The sequence below is a fragment of the Homo sapiens genome, chromosome 11, assembly GCF_000001405.40.
Source record: "Homo sapiens chromosome 11, GRCh38.p14 Primary Assembly".
In the NCBI taxonomy this organism is placed as follows: domain Eukaryota; kingdom Metazoa; phylum Chordata; class Mammalia; order Primates; family Hominidae; genus Homo; species Homo sapiens.
Genome location: NC_000011.10, coordinates 92,466,777 through 92,484,512, shown reverse-complemented (window position 1 = coordinate 92,484,512; position 17,736 = coordinate 92,466,777). Strand labels below are relative to the sequence as shown.

At 38.4% G+C, this 17,736-nt stretch overlaps 1 protein-coding gene across 11 annotated transcripts in view, besides 1 other annotated feature; it reads right to left on the bottom strand.

Annotated features, from left to right (window-relative positions):
* Window positions 1-17,736, bottom strand: part of FAT3 (FAT atypical cadherin 3) — a 671,656-nt gene that overhangs the window by 411,961 nt on the left and 241,959 nt on the right. The gene's annotated exons all lie outside the window — the stretch shown is intronic.
* Window positions 7,803-8,003: a silencer, noted in NCBI's record as "peak1397 fragment used in MPRA reporter construct". NCBI's record gives its function as "represses an SCP1 promoter by STARR-seq MPRAs in K562 erythroleukemia cells {active_cell/tissue: K562}" and the evidence as "EXISTENCE:reporter gene assay evidence [ECO:0000049][PMID:32103011]".

The window sequence follows — 17,736 nt, the reverse complement described above, 5'->3', positions numbered from 1 at the left end:
TTCATCATCGCCCTTTCCCAGAACGATTTTGAGTTGCACGCTGTACCTGCATTTATCCACCTCGTGCAAATGGGCACTCTTATCAATGACATTCTTTAAGCAGTATCTCCCAGAGGTTTTTCTTTTACTTATAATATAGTCAAACACTAGGAAATAGTCTAAATATAATTTAAATGTGCCTAAACTGAAAAATTTGCTTTATGGTAACAATTCTAGCATAAGAAAGTAAATAAAATATAAAATAAGAGAAAACATAAAACTGCTAAGGAGGAAAACAGCACCATGGAATTTGTGAAATAGGAATAATTATTTTCATAATTTACATAGATAGCATAGACAGAAGGCCAATTTGCGGATCCTATGCCAAGAAGAAGACATACCTTTGGACAAAGGATAATGGATTAGAAAATTCATGCAGATGCTCACATTGGAAAACTGAAGGGACTCAGCCCTTGACCACTTACTTGTGTCACAGGCTAATTCTTATCATCATTAACACTGATTGTGACATGTGACATAGCACCCTCATGTGAGTGTACCACAATCATAATAACTAGTGGGCAATCTAGTGGGAAATGGCATTATGGCAGACCTGGTAATTGCAACTTGAGTTCTACCAGTGACTGAGCAAGTCAGTTAATAATCCTAAGAATCAGTTTGCTTATTTTGAAGAATTTAATACATAAATGCAATAAATGGGCATTTACTGAGTGTCTTCTCTGTGCCAGATACTATGCAATGATCTAGGTTATCTGACACTTTCATTAGACTGTAAACCTAGTGAGAGTTTGTACCTTACACGCATATCATTGTACCTCCAGGGATATGATGTGTTTGGCAGTGCTTGGCATAGAAGAGGTGTTTAATAAACAGGGATAAAAGAAAGGATGGAAAAAAGGATAGAGGAAAATATAGGTGAGGATAAAAGATAAATGAGATAGGATACATACCCACAGAGATCTCACAGTCTAGTAGACAGAGAGCTACACAAAAATATGTTAGAAAACAGCTTTGCTTAGAAATAACAGAAAAACCTGTAATCCCAGCTACTCAGGAGGCTGAGGCAGTAGAATCACTTGAACCCAGGAGGCAGAGGTTGCAGTGAGCTGAGATCGCGCCATTGCACTCCAGCCTGGGAGACAGAGCGAGACTCTGCCTCAAAAAATAAAAGAAAAAGAAAAGAAAAAAAAAAGAAATAACAGATAAAAAAAGATGTGTTTGATAGGTGAAGTACAGAAAGATTATGAAAGCAGTCAGGGTATGATGGACATGTGCAAAATTCCAGACAAATGCACTCCTTCCAGATTGCCCAGGGCCTGTGCAAATACTGTGTTACCTGTACACTCTAGTTCACTTAGCTTGTCCAAGCATCAGCACTATGGTGGTTTTCTGTGATGCATTTTACCAAATGACAATGCCAACATCTCTCAGTTTATTTATTTAGCTGCTCCCAATAACTAGCTGTGCCAGTGTAATTCAAAACACCAAAGAGCACCTATGACTCTTTTCATATTGTACATGCAGTAATTTTTCTTGCCTTTCCCTTCTTGATTTACGATGATAACTGCTCTTTGTGACTGCTTCTGAGACTGCTGGTCAGCTGGAATCTGCTGGCTGACAGCAAAGGTGTTATAAATCCCAGAAACCTAGAAGGAACTTTCCCTCTCGCTTTCTCAGACTTAGGGATGCTGCACTGTTTGCCAGGAATGCAGTGTCAGGAACGGAGGCGAATATGTAGTTGAGGAAGGGTGTCGGCACAAAAGAGAGAGAGAGACTGGCTGCTCAGGCCTGACTCTAGGCATGAGGGCAAAGGAAGAGGTTTTGAGAGGTTACTGTATTGGGCTGCCAGAACTGCAGAGCTGAGAGGGATGCGGAGCTGAGAAAAGAGAAAGCATGTGGATGGAGCAATTCTAATTGTGGTGCTGGCATGTGATGGGGCCAGGACAGTGATAGGCTGGAAAGTCAGAACGACCTGTGTTGGAGTCTGGATTTAGTTTCTCACCTGCTAGATGACTTTGGGGAGCAATTTAATCTTTTTAAGCCTTATTTTCTTCAGTGGTAAAATGGAGAAACATAAAAAATACACCTCCTAACAGGACTGTTGTAAGGATTAAAAAGTGCTGAGCACTGCATGTGCTCAGCAGCAAACCTGGCACTGTGATAAGGACCCAAGAGTTACCAATGGCTACTGCTATTACTATTAAATCTATAATATCCATGCCAAGAATTTTAATTCACAGAAGTGTTCTCATAAGTGAAAAAGACTATTCATTGTAATAATGTTGGAAATGATGATAAATGGAAAACAATCTGATAGTGTTCACTAACAAAAGCAGGGTTTATGGTATAGAGCATTCTTACTATATTAAAATGAATGAAATCTATGTGTACTGACATTGAAGATGTCTAAATGTATGGTTAAGTAAAAAAAAGACCACGTTTAAGAACATATATATAGTCTTACCCAATTTCTCTAGGTAAGCAAGTTAAATGTTATTTTTTAAAAATCTAAAAAATATACATATGAAGTAATTAAAATGATTATCTCTATGGAGTAAAATTAAAGGAAACTTTAATTTTCTAAATTATACTTTATGTGTGCTTTCACAAAAATCGATCCATTTTATAACAATAATTTTTATTACCATTTTAAAGATGCAGATTTTAAGATAGCAGTGCTTTTTAAAAATAAACTTATTCCGAATAGTCTTTTTGCTGCAGTGTCCCACTGGCCACACAACTCAAATATCTGGTGTTTTTCTAATTTCTAGACAGCAACTTAAAGCCTCACTGCTCTGAAATCTCACAAAGGAGAGAATAAATAAAGTACAGTAATTAAGAGAACTAGAACACCAAGTACAAAGCATTTATGTTTTAGATGTTGACTCAATTTATTTCATTAGTTTCCTTTTTAATATCCTGAGAAATTATCTGAACCAATGCAATATTAGTTTTTGTTGAATAATACCAAGAGAATAAATCCAAATCCACCTTCAATTAGAAATCCTCTTCAAAACAATTCCTACACAAAATAAACTAGATTAATGCATATATTCACTGATATAGGTAATACTCTATTTTCTTGAATTTATGTTTCCTATAACCATATAGCTTATCCTGAATAGTTTTTTTTTCCAAAAGCTTTGGAATTTGATTTTGGGAATAATGCAAAGCTAGAAATATCACTAGCATCCCAATAAATAATATAAAGAGGTAGATATTCTTTAGAAACATATTTTTCAAATTATATATAATTTAAATATCATCATTGCCCAGATATTTCTATTTGAATAGGCAAGAGGTGGAAACAGCACAATTCCTTTTAACTGATTGAAATGATTTAGCATTTTCCTTGCAATGCATACTCACATATGAGACATAGATTGGACAAATACTGAATTAACACAATGATTATATTGACAATTCAATTCTGCCTTCCTGACCATCAGTTCAGTTTCTCTTAAATGAAGTACACTCTTAATCATCTTTTTGGAGGCAGAAACTTCTAAGTTTGCAACGATACCTTTTCATTTATATGAATGAGTAAAAGGGGCTGGACATAACATTAGTAGTTTTCCTCAGCTAAAGCTTCACTCACACAACAAACGTTTGCTGGGCACCCCCTTAGGTATCTTCTCTTACTGTCCCATTCATGAAATCATAACTTCACTCCATACGATTGATTCATTTAGACATTTCTGGTCATGCAGCATCCAATGGAAGTATTCCACTAAAGCCAAAATCAGCAACTGGACAACTCCCCAATGCTTATAACTAAGCACTGATGTTCACTTACAGTCACACAAAAAAAATGTGCATTGCTTCCACTTTCATAACCCTGGAGCCTCTCTGATCTCCCAGGAAAAGCCACATGCATCATAGAATGCTGCTGAGAATGGACATATTACATTTTGCTACTAATGTCAGAGAGAACTAGAAGATTTGTTTCATGTAAGCTCACTAGGGTAGTGGAACACAAAGTCAGCTGTTCCTCTTGCCTTTCACCCTATGAGTTGCATTCCAGAAAAAAACTCACCAATGCAGTTGTGGTACTGGGAGAACCTTGATGCCAATGCTTTCCTTAATTCATGGGTAAAAGCTCTGGTATATGTTTCTTCCATAATTTGAGGTACACAGAGGTGGCCGACTCCAAAATATACTGCCTTTGACTCCAAAATATACTGTCTTTGAACTTACTCCAATTTAAAGTTTGCATGCTTGGCACTGTTTTGTTTTGTTTTGTTTTTTGAGACAGAGTCTCACTCTGTCGCCCAGGCTGGAGTGCAGTGGTGCCATCTCGGCTCGCGGTAAGCTCTGCCTCTTGGGTTCATGCCATTCTCCTGCCTCAGCCTCCTGAGTAGCTGGGACTACAGGCGCCCGCCACCACGCCCGGCTAATTTTTTGTATTTTTAGTAGAGATGGGGTTTCACCGTGTTAGCCAGGATGGTCTCGATCTTCTGACCTTGTGATCCGCCTGCCTCAGCCTCCCAAAGTGCTGGGATTACAGGTGAGAGCAACCGCGCCCAGCCTTGGCACTGTTTTAATTGCTTCTTATTCACCCTGTTGGTGAGGGAGGGATTCCCACCGTAGCACTGTAGGGTTGGCTGACCACATGACACCCACACTGGATAGACGAGATGGACAGCAGTTTATTAGTCATGTATACACAAAGTCCAGGGGAGAAGGATACCACACAGGGCCATATAGGAGTTACACTTGGGAGTAAAGCAAATAACTACTATGAAAGGCCAGCTTTGTAGTTCCAAGAGGGTAGAGTGTCCCCTGGTTCTCATGAGACAATGTGATTGGCTTGTTTGAATAATTTTGCAGGAGGGCAGGGAACTGAAGCATACTAATGAGGAATAAGCAGAAATTTTACTTAGTCCCTTTGATAAAGAAGAGTGTTTGACCAAGGGACCTTATCTACAGAGGCAGAATGGGAAGGACAGCTTGTATTTAGGCCATTCAAGGCCTGCATGATTTTATCAGATTTTAAGGCAGCACGTAATATTGAGCCTTAATTTTAGTTCCTACACCCTAGGCACATAGTAAATACTTACAAATACTTGCTAAATGAGTCATTGAATAAATGTTGTGAAAATGGAAGCATTTTAAAACTTTGGAGTCGCTGTATTTGGCCCATGACCTTAGGCAAGTCACTGAACATTTTAGTTGTATTTCAGTCAATTAAAAAATGTTTAAGTCTGGGTGCAGTGGCTCATACCTGTAATCCCAGCACTTTGGGAGGCTGAGGAGGGCAGGATGCTTGGGCCCAGGAGTTCGAGACCAGCCTGAACAACATGGAAAAATCCTGTCGCTACAAAAAAATACAAAAAAAAAAAAAATAGCTGGCCGTGGTGATACACACCTGTGTTCTCAGCTACTAGAGAGGCTGAGATGGGTGGATTGTTTGAGCCTGGGAGGCAGAGGTTGCAATGAACCAAGATAACCCCGCTGCACTCCAGCCTGGGCAAAAGTGCAAGACCCTGTCTCTAAAAAAAAACAAAAAACAACAACAAAGAAAAGAAAAGAAAAGAAAAGAAAAGAAAAGAAAAGAAAAGAAAGAAAGAAAGAAAGAGAAGGAAAGAAAGAAAGCCAGCCAGGCGCAGTAGCTCATGCCTGTAGTCCCTGCACTTTGGGAGGCCAAGGTGGGTGGATCACTTGAGTTCAAGACCAGCCTGGCCAACATGGTGAAACCCCATCTCTACTAAAAATACAAAAAATTTTTAGTAGCCAAGTGTGGTGGTGGGAACCTATAATCCCAGCTACTCAGGAGGCTGAGGCAGGAGAATCACTTGAACCCAGGAGGCAGAGGTGGCAGTGAGCGTAGATCACGCCACTGCACTCTAGCCTCGGGGACAGAGCGAGACTCTGTCTCAGAAAAAAAAAAATGTATCAGATAGAAAGTGCATCGTTTCTGTTTATCTCAGGAGGTTGTCAGGTTGTTTGGGGAAATAAAATTGTTAATATATGAGGACAATGCCCAAGTCCTTTGAGAGTCTTAGAAGACCCTATATCATCTCCTGAGTGAGGAACTCGTTGGAAGCAATAATTGGTAGTCGCCAAGGCCAAATGAGCTGAAGGGCAGTGATGGTAAAACTGGAAGAAAGAGATGGACACCAAGCTTCATGTTGAAGTTAAACCTACAGAATTTCAAAGTCCAGGAGGAAGTTTTACAAAAAGGGAACAAAATGACTCTAATATGTTAAGTCTGGGTGACTGGGAAAATGATGTTGTCATCCGTAGTAAGATTAAATTCAAGAGCAAAACTGGCTTACAAGAGGGGCAAGGTGATGAATTCGGTTACCAGCTGAAGACAGTTTCTTTGAAATAAATATCTTGATCTTTGAAACTGTGTTTTCAAGGCCTAGGAAAACATTTTATTTGGAAAATATTTGCCTGGCCTCACATAGCCAGTGTTTAACCTATAGCTAGCTGTCTTAAATAACTTCTCTATGCTGGAATCTTTTCCCCAAGGACACGTCAGGAAAGTAATATGCCTCTCTAGCTTGCTCACAGGTATACAAGGCCTTCTGGCTTCTACACTGAAGGCTATCACCTGGGACAGTATTACTGACTTCTAACATGCACACAGTTTCCTAGCCCCGTGCCATGCTGCCATGTTGACAGAACTCCTGCAGCACACTCTTGTGTAAGTTAAGCAAGGTCAAGTCTGATTATGACTTGCATAGCCTGAGCTGTCTAACTGGTCTTGTGTTCTAATACAGACATAGAAAAAATCAGTGAACCTTGAATACATTCAACCTTAGATATTTACTCGGCACCTGCTCTAGGGTCAGGTACCAGCTGTTGTTAAGTATAAGAGCTATAAAAAGAAATAACACATTTTCTGTCTTTGAGAAGCTCACACTCAAGCCAGAACACAGACAGTAAAATAAATAAGTACACTAGCAAACATTAGGTGCTAGAATAGATGTAGACATAAAATGTGAGTGAGCAGTTGATTCCAGTGAGATAATAGATAAGGTCAGAGAAAGAACACTGGAGAACATTTAAAGACATGCCTATAAGAACAAGTACTTATAAAAGGACAGAAACAATAATTATCCAAAAAGAAAGGAAAGACATATTCAATTTTTGTGTTTAGATTGCATATATCATTTTGTACCTATTACTTGATTCCCTAAATTAGAAGTCTGACAGTTTGTATTTTTAAAATGCCCTGTTTGCCACCTACACAAAGCAGGAGGCCGTGGACAAAAATACACTTCACACCAGAAACTCCAAAATAGTGAAATCTACATTGTCATCTGTTCTATAAAACAAGCAGTCTCACATTACCATAGAAATCTCCATTCTTTTCTGTGGGAAAGTATTTTAAATAAAGCTGTCAGACAGTCTCAATTAAAAATAATAAACAAAAGACCATTTATGGTCCCGTTGGATTCACTACTAAAGTTCATTAACGAACTTACCATCAGGTATTCAGAAGCTAAAAGGTAGCATATGGAGGAATTTCCAACACAATTAAAAGACACTATTTATGTTTTCCATTACCACCATTGGCTTCTGGCAGTCTGGACGGAATTAAACAACTGTCTACACAAATCAAAGCTTCACGTGGTGGTCATGGTGGAAGAACAAATATGCAAGTAGAGGAGAAAGTCACAGGAAATATACCTGATATGGGCAACTTCTTGTAATTTTCCAGAAAAAATGTGGTTAATTTTTAGTTCCTCAGTACCACTGTCTTCAACTTGATCCTCTAATACAGAGTATTCATAGTACCCACTGCATTTAAGTAAATGTGAGGCTCCCTTTTCTCTCCATGTTGATTTCTTTCCCCAAGCACTCTGAGTGTCTTCGTTTATAAAGCTTTTTGTTCTTGCAGAGATCAGGACTTTTCACACAGCCCATTTATTAGGTTTTGATAAGAGTCAATGCATTTATGTGTCTTCCATTCACCCCCAAGTACGGCTGTATTCATTTGCTCTCTGCTTTCTGCAGCATCTCATGTTATTGCCTCATTTTGTGCTTTCTGCATGTGTATGTGTACAAGGTGGTGGTGTGTGTACTGGTCTGCTGATAAGACCAAGGAAATTCTAAACTCTCTTTCTGCCTCCAAGATAAGAGATAGTAACCTAGGATGGGCAGAAGCAAACCTGACTTGCTGTAATTTTCCTTACAACCCAAATGTACTTAGATGGCTTATATAAATGGTTTTGAAACTAGGTTATACAAATAATAGATATTATTGTCAGTCTGACATTTCCATCTGGTCAATTGCTTTCAGGTGGCTTCAACAAAAAGATGGTGATCTAGCCAAATCCAAAATAAGTTAAAGGATGCTTTCTTGATATGCGTATCCCAAGTCATTTTCTCAGTATTTGGTAGACCTCTTTACTGTCCACCCACCCAGCCCTGACACTCTCTCCCTTCCCCTGCACACACTTGTATACACACACACACGCACACACACACACACTCACACACTCACTGCTGGCCAGCCCAGTGTCTCCATTAGACATGTGAACCTTGAAAGGGAGGTGATCTCTCACTTGAGCTGTCTCATAAATCACTAAACCTTCTTCCTTTGCTCCACATTAACCTTCGGTCTTTAATTTCTTCCTTTTCACTTGATTTTATGACCTGCTCTCTCCATAAAGCCTTTTTATGAGGATTTGTATGGAAGTGACTCCCTACAAATAAATTTAAATTTATATTTGATCATGATTCTAGTCTATAACTTTAGATTTAAAATATCACACTCCAAATTCATACTCATAAATATGTGAACCAATGATAATTAAAACTTTTTAAAAATTTGGAATATTCTCAAATATTCCTCAATCAGCTGAAATTTTTTGTTTGGTTCTTTGCTTTTTGTTATTTTGCATTTCTTTTTTTTCCAGTCTTCCTCTGGTAAACAAGTAATTGCTGAAGAACTAACAAAGAATGTCAGTAGTTTCTAATGTTAGAAACTGAAGCCTTCCATACATAAGAGTGAGAGTTTCAAGGCTTTGTCTCTGTGGGGGCCATGAAACCACAGCCAGCTTTTCACAGCATATGTAGGTTCTTTTGAACTGTTTCACCTTCCCTCTGACCCTAGGATCCCACAATGAAAAAAAGCCAGGGTAGCATCCTAGAGTATATCCACATCTATTGTTCATCAGTGACCCAAGGACAAAAAAATAGACAGCCCAAACAAAATGGTCAGCAGATCATTACTGGTATGTGGATGAAGTTCTCTGCCAGGAGATAAGAAACATGTCTTGGAAGAGATCATTAAAAACAGCATAAGGATTTTTTAAAAAGATGCAGAGAATCCCAGAATTTCCCAGACAAGAGAACTAAAGAAGACAGTTACCCTAGAAACTAGAGGAGACACAATCCCCACCCTCAAAGACCTTCCCATGAAAAAGACGGAAAAAGAGGCACACATATGCAAAAATAGCCTTTAATCAAGACCCAGGATGATAAGACCAAAACCGCCATTGTGTCAAGGTGGGTACGAAGAAAGGAGAAATATTTAAAACCAGTGGGCATGTGGGAAGGGCAATGTGCCCATGAGGCCTGCCAGGTGCAGATCATCAGAAAGCCATTATTGCTTGCATTTTTCTAAATAGAACAAGCCATGAATACAATCAGGAAGGAAAAGAGATTAGAAAGATAGCCAAGCACATTTTTAGCCATCTCTAGTATTTTCCCCACTGTCCACCTTCTTAATTCTCTTTTATCACTGGCCTGGGAGTAACGTGACATCAGCCTATACCCCTGGCATTACCTAAATCCAAAGAAACACTCTTCCCTTCACCTCTTTACTTGGTAACTCCCACTCCACCTTCTAGTTTCTGATTTCCATCTCCAGGGAGCTTTCCCAGGACCCTGGTTCCATTAGTCACCCCAGGCTCTGAGCTCCTGGAGTCTCCTGTTCTCATTGAGATCCTCATCTCCCTGTGGTCCCTTGTCTAAGGCCTTTTGACACCTACACTGCACCCTGAGCATCTTGAGGGCTGGAATGACATCCATCCCCTTCCCCTTCCTGTATGCCCAGCACACTGAACACATTTGATACATGAATTACAACCAGTTAAGGTAGAGTCTGTGCCCTTCCTACCACTCCCAAGCCCAGAATTATTTTAGGTGCAGTGGCTTGAGGCTTTTTATAGGAGTTCATCATTACCCTTTGTATTTCATATGTACTCTTTTCAGGCCAGGCAACATATTTGTATATCACCTCTAATGTATATACTCCTGGTAATAAATTTCTCATGAAGAAATATGTCCTTGGCACAACCACTCTTCATTAGCAGATGGATTACTCTTTCTTATTAGCTGGTCTAGGAGCTGCCATTAAGCAAAATGGCACTGCATCTGAAATGGGAACCACCAGAGGAGTGAGCCTCAGCACAGGGTTTATAAGAAGCTGTTGGAGCAGTGCAAGGGAATCTCTTTCCTCTCAAAGGAAGATCAGGCTGCTCCTTTATCTTCTGACAATCAAAAGTTACGTTCTCCAGTTGGATTTGACATTACCTAATGACAAGGCATCTATGTGGTGTTTGTAATTCTCAGCTCCATAGGAAGGCTGGCAGCAGACGTGTCCTGACAAAGAGCCTTGAGTGACAGCAGATCTTAGGAATGCCGGAGGAGGTCACTTTAGTCATCTTTCCACACATAAGGCCCATGAAGTGCCAAAATCATTCTGGGCTAGCAGTGTAGGAATAGTATCTTCATTTAACTATGTGAAAAATAAAAGCATTCTGAGTTTCTTGCTAGTCCCTGTGTACACAAGGTCTTTTTCTCTGTGAGAGGGTTTGCTGACCAAAGTCCTCTTCTGTACATGGTGATTGGGACCCTGGCTTTAAGAGTTGGTATTTAACTTAAGTCCAAAAGCAGAGAAAGCAAATGTCTCACAAACATTGGGAGAGATTTATCAAACATTCACACAGGAATATGTCCTAAAATCCAATCTATTTCAGTCTGTATTGACGCCTTAAGATGAGATAATCAAGGATGTACTTACTACATTTGCAGGTGAAGTTAAATGAGGTGATGTTCCAAATACTCTCAATGATGATAAAATTTCAAAATAATTGTAATCAACTAAAAAAGGGTCTCAAAGAAAAAAGATGAAATGCTAAAGACAGATAGAAGGTGTGAAAATATAATAAGATGGTGGCTGATGGATTTGATATCTCTATCCCTTCATCTCTCTCTGCACAACCCCACCCAACACACACACACAAGTGAGAACACTGCTAATTCCAATTAAATTAACAAACATTTACTGAGTGCCTGCTCTATGGTAAGTACTGCGCCAATTAAGTATACAAACATGAAGAACATAGTTTCTGACTCTAAGAAACTTATAAGCCTAATTAGAGAGATAGATACGTGAACCCAGAGTCACAAGTGAAGGCTGCCATGTGTAGATAGTGATATGTACAGAGGCACAGGAGCATACGGGAGGCTGCAGCTCAGTGGAGACTTTTCCCAGAAGTTTACATTTAAGCTAAAGCTTAAAGGATAAGCAGGTTTGCAAAGCAGATACAGGGCAGAAGAAAATTCCAAAAATGTGGAGGAACAAACTGGAAGTCACAGATAAACGAAGAGCAAGCAGCCTTCTTAGAACCAAAAACTGGCCTATAAGAGTGGTTCCTGGGCAAGGGGGCAGAGGGGGCTTAGATCATAAAAGGCCTCTTCTGCCAAGCTAAGTGCTGAACATTGCCTACTGTCTCCAGAAGGGTTTAATCGCAGGATACTAATAAGCTGGATAAAGGGGAAGCAAAGCAGGGTGGTGGGCACTCTGGAGGCCATGACAGCTATGTCGTGTTTACACTGACAAGTGAATTCAGACATGGAGAGGGTGTTAGTAGTTCAGTTTTTATGTAGAATATTCCATTGTACTTAGAGCTCATGGTACTGTATGCTATATACACAAGACAGTCAAAAACATGTGTCGACTTGAATTATTATCTTAGCTGGAAACATCTTTGGTGTCCACAGAGCTAGGCAGTTTTATTTTTCTTTTTGACTGCAAATACTACGTCCCAATGCCTCAGTATATACCCTTATCTCTTGTCTGTATTCTCAAAATGCTTGCTGGTTGTCACAAGACAGACTAAACTAGAGAGTGTTGATCAGTCCACCAGGTCAAACCTATGATGACTGGTAGAAAAAAATATTCAAAATAAAGCTGCAGAAACCAGGTTACCAAAGAGCCATCAGAAGTGGGGCAGTCAGTGTTGGTCAGGGTATGGGGAACTGATAGCCACTTACAGTACTGCTAAAAGTAAAAGTTGTTCATATGATTGTTATTAAATATAGCATTTCAGAACATTCAAAAGAGTAGAGAAAAAATATACACCCACACACTGCTCATTTAGCTTAAGAGTTAAAACTCAGATATAACAGAAACTCTTGTAAAGCTGCTCCACACAGTGTCACTATATTTCTCACTGTTATGCACACTTTTTGATATGTTTATTCCATGTGAACTCCCAAAATAATACCTAATAATCTTTTGCATTTTAAAAATAGTCTATAAATTACATACATAAATATACATACATAAATTATGTATGTAACTTACAGAATATATATATATATATATATATATATATATATATATATATAGCATATGAAAAGTAGGGTCTTTTGAAGACTTTTACCTTTCAATAATATGTTTTTTGAGATTTATTTATGCTACTAAATGTAGCTCTGGTTTATTCATTTCACAGATGTATAATATTCAACTGCATGAATGTATCACACTATATTTTCAGAGATGGACTTTTAAGTTGTTCCCAGTTTCCTGCCATTAGAAGGAATGCTAGAATAAACTTTCCTGCATTTGTAGATGAGTTTTCTTGGATACTGATTAGCGTAAATGCATTTTCAACTGTCCTTTGCATATGGCTAAGTTGTCCTCCAAAGTTGCTGAAACAATTTACACCATCCCCATCTATGTATGAGTTTCTATTGCTTCACAGCCTCAAAACCATTTATTTATAGCCAAATTTAATTTTTGCCAACGTGAAGGGTATCAAATGGCTCTTGTCATTTTAATTTGTCTCCCTGATTACATGAAGGTGAGCATCTTTTCATGTTTACTGATCATTTTGGTTTACTCTTCCGTAAAATGCTTAGTTAAGACATTTGCCATTTTTCTGTTAAGCTATTTGCTTTATTGTAGGATTTCTTTTTTATATGTTAACACTAATATTTTGTTAAGAGTTTTTATAGGAAACAAATTAGTGCTATGTATTAAGACCCTTAAAGATGCTCTCACCCTTTGCCCCAATAATTACACTTCATTTAACTTAAACTAAGGAAGTAATAAAAGTGTGCTAAAAGATTTAGGCTTCGGATACTTATCAAAGCATTGCTTATAATAGGAAAATATTAAAAGCACTGATCTTAAATAATAGTCATAAAAAGTAAATATATGAAATTCTCCAACACAAAGGGATGGACATATCTATCAAATAGACTGCTACGCAGACATTAAAACTAATGTTACAGAAGAATGTTAAAAATATATCAAATGAAAAAAGCAGGTTGCAAAAAATTCTCAAGGAAAAATATGATACTAAATGTAGCTATTGCTAGTTTATGGGATTACAAGTATGTTTCCTTCCTTTTATTCTTATTTTTTCTAAAATTTCTATGAAGGATATGAAATAATTTTTTTAAAGTCGTCATATAAAAATAATGGGATGACTCTTTAAGAATTGGACTATCAGGATAAAATGCATCTAAGAGACAGAATTTTGAAAAGTACCAGATTACAAGTAGCACTGAAAGCTACAAATAGGACCAGTGTGTACATGTGTGCAGGACTTGGGTTTCCAAAGCCAGGCATTTCAGCCAAACCCACAGAAAATGATCACCCTTGGATCACTGCTGTCTAACCTAATGAAAAATAATAACCCAAGAAGTTCTGTGAGTTCCATGTACAGCAGGGCTTGGTGTTTCCCAAAGGACTTACAATCTAAGAAAGACAGATGAGACAATTAAGATCAACAGACAAGAGATGGGAAAGGCAATTTGTACCCCAGTCATGGAATGGGGATATGGTTTCTATGTTCATATTTACATTTCAAGACAGGTTTAAGAAGATTTAAGCCAGATCTAAATAGAAAATATAGCTGAAACTGGATGTAAGAGTTACAAAATAAAAAGTATACATTATATAACTGATGGTGGAAGACATCCAACTCAGAATGAGAAAACAGATTCAAAAACACCTTGACCCCAAAGTCTGATGGCCTAGTCCACTAGAATAATTGTCTTTAGTTTATGAAACGTTTGCTTATAATTATCCAAAATTTTGAAAGAATCAAGGTCAAGTATGGAAGAGAGAATTTCCTTCAGAGTAAGAGAGGTCTGGGTTCTGCCTCGGGCAATAAATCTCTCAGGGCTCAAATTCTTTCTCATGAGAATGGAGATAATCACACAGTATCAGTGTGGCATGACCACTGGACCGTTAGAGATAATGAAAATAAATACTATATGTGACATGAAAATATTAATCATGGGAATATAGTGTTCCTTCTGCACTTGGAATTGGAGCATGATTGGATAATATGTTCCAGATATTTAACTGTTACAACATGTAAATGAAACAAAACTCTAAAGTCTTGATTAAAAGTCTAATAGGAACACAATTTATTTGGCTTCAAGCTTTACTTTTTCTGTTTAGTGTATATTTTTTATCTTTAATAATCACAAATTAGGCCAGGTGCGGTGGCTCATGCCTGTAATCCCAGCACTTTGGGAGGCTGAGGTGGGCAGATCATGAGGTCAGGAGTTTGAGACCAGCCTGACCAACATGATGAAACCCCATCTCTACTAAAAATAAAAAAAAATTAGCTAGGCATGGTGGCAGGTGCCTGTAATCCCAGCTACTCGGGAGGCTGAGGCACGAGAATCATTTGAACCCAGGAGACTGAGGTTGCAGTGAGCCGAGATCGCACCACTGCACTCCAGCCTGGGTGACAGGGTGAGATTCCATCTCAAAAAAAAAAAATCACAAATTAGAACATTTTAAAATAAGCTTTAAAAGAAGGATGAGGCCAATCCTAGCTCTATTTCTTTCTCATGTAAAATACACAATTAATATCTTAATGTAGCTGTGAAAATAGTATCTAACCATTTCTCCTTTGTTTTGCCAAGAAGAGACAGATGGCGAATCAGCTTATAAATCAGCCCCCAAAATTCTTGAAGGCAAATAAGTGCTTTATAAATCAGGGTTTTAAAAAGGTCTCATTTTTATAACAGTTATTACTTTGAAGCAATCTTTCCCTAATTGTCTTCATAAACATTAAACAGGGCTAATTTATGAGTTCCTGAACAATTTTGGGTTTTTGAATGAAACAATCAAGATCCCACATGCCTGCCTTTTATTTTTTAATCATCAGTAACATATACAATGACCTTGATCAGCCCTATGGTTCGTTAAGTTATGACCCTCACAGACAATGAACCCATGCTGAGAAATTATGATTTGGCTCAAAATTCAGAATACATTTGAAAATGACTTTGAGATGACAAGACACCTTGAAAGTTTGGCTATGGCTTCACATCCAAGAAAAAGAAATCATTAGCAAAAAATCATAATAATTTATAGAGATTGGCACAGGGCTTCTAAAATTATCCACACCCTCTGATATGATATGGCTGTGTCCCCACCCAAATCTCATCTTCAACTGTAGTTCCCATCATGGGGGCGCTTACCTCCATGGTGTTCTCATGATAGTGAGTGAGTTCTCAAGAGATCTCATGGTTATATAAGGGAGTTTCCCCACCCCTTCACTCTGCACTTCTCCTTGCTGCTGCCAGATGAAGAAGGACATGTTTGCTTCTTCTTCCACCATGACTGTAAGTTTCCTGAGGCCTCCCCAGCCATGTTGAACTGTGAGTCAGTTAAACCTCTCTCCTTTATAAATCACCCAGTCTTGGGTATGTCTTTATTAATAGCATGAGAATGGACTAATACACCCTCCAAACATTGCTTGGCTTTGCACTGATCCTACCACAGTTTCTCTGAAGAAAAAAGAAGAATTACACTACACCTGGCTTTAAAATATACTAAAAGCCAGTGCATTAAAGATGCTATACAAAAGGTTATATATGACAAGGGAGCTTTCAAAGGCTTCTTCCATCAAGTTTATTAAGCACTATGTTAGGCCAACCATATTCCAATTTGATGCATTTTATTATATGAAAATGTGTCCTTTTGTCTAAGAGAATGGAATCTCAAATTCTTATAACAAGATGCATGGCAGGGGAGTTACTTCATAAAGTGATTTTTCTGTTATTACAGGGCTACAATCCATGCTCTATCCACAATTCTAAAATCTCAAAAGCTCTGAAAACTCATTTAACTGCAAAACCTGATCTAATCAGAAACCATGTAATGATTAAACCCGACCTGGCCCAAAGTGAGGCTATTGTACTCAGCCCACTGGTGTGACTCTCCATATGTTTTGCCGCTGACATCTTAAAGTATTTGATTACAAGGCACTGCCCTAGGCTCTACAGAGAATGTCATGCATATGTTATATATGTGACTTCTCCTATGTCATATGCTCACTCCCAATTGCCTTTCTAAAATTCTGAATTCCAAAATACATCTGACCCCAGTGGTTTTGATATAGGGCTATGGACCTGTGTTAATATTTGTATTTTACTTTCTTCTTACAGGATAGAAGAAGGAAGTTAATGCTGCAGTCCTAGGATTGGAGAAACAATGGCACTTCAGAAAAAATGTTCAAAAACAGAAATGCTATTGCCTCCATATTAGAAGAACATGGCATAAGCTCAGCCCTCAGCAACACCCATCATCAAGTAAGTGGTTTGTTCTGGGTGCTATACAGAGCAGGTGGCACAGGCACAGCTTTAAGGGACTGGGGATGCATGACAGACCAACACCAAGAAACAAAATTGTGAGTAATAAGCCCTGGACATATGCAGACATGATAAAACTATTTAAATTATGTATAGGCCCAAGGATAAGGGCATTTGAGTACTGACAAGTGGGCTAATCACGGGTTTCTGTCTTTACACAAAGTAGGGACTGAAGAAGGGCTAACAAAAAAAGGCAAGATAATAAGTAGAGTCCCCAGTGTGTGTTTGTGTGTTCACAAAAGAGGAGAATTACTAAATATGTCAAAAGATATTTATGCAGCCAAAAAACACATGAAAAAATGCTCACCATCACTGTCCATCAGAGAAATGCAAATCAAAACAACGAGATACCATCTCACACCAGTTAGAATGGCAATCATTAAAAAGTCAGGAAACAACAGGTGCTGGAGAGGATGTGGAGAAATAGGAACACTTTTACACTGTTGGTGGGACTGTAAACTAGTTCAACCATTGTGGAAGTCAGTGTGGAGATTCCTCAGGGATCTAGAACTAGAAATACCATTTGACCCAGCCATCCCATTACTGGGTATATACCCAAAAGACTATAAATCATGCTGCTATAAAGACACATGCACACGTGTTTATTGCGGCACTATTCACAATAGCAAAGACTTGGAACCAAGCCAAATGTCCAACAATGATAGACTGGATTAAGAAAATGTGGCACATATACACCATGGAATACTATGCAGCCATACAAAATGATGAGTTCATGTCCTTTGTAGGGACATGGATGAAATTGGAAATCATCATTCTCAGTAAACTATAGCAAAGACAAAAAACCAAACACCGCATGTTCTCACTCATAGGTGGGAATTGAACAATGAGAACACATGGACACAG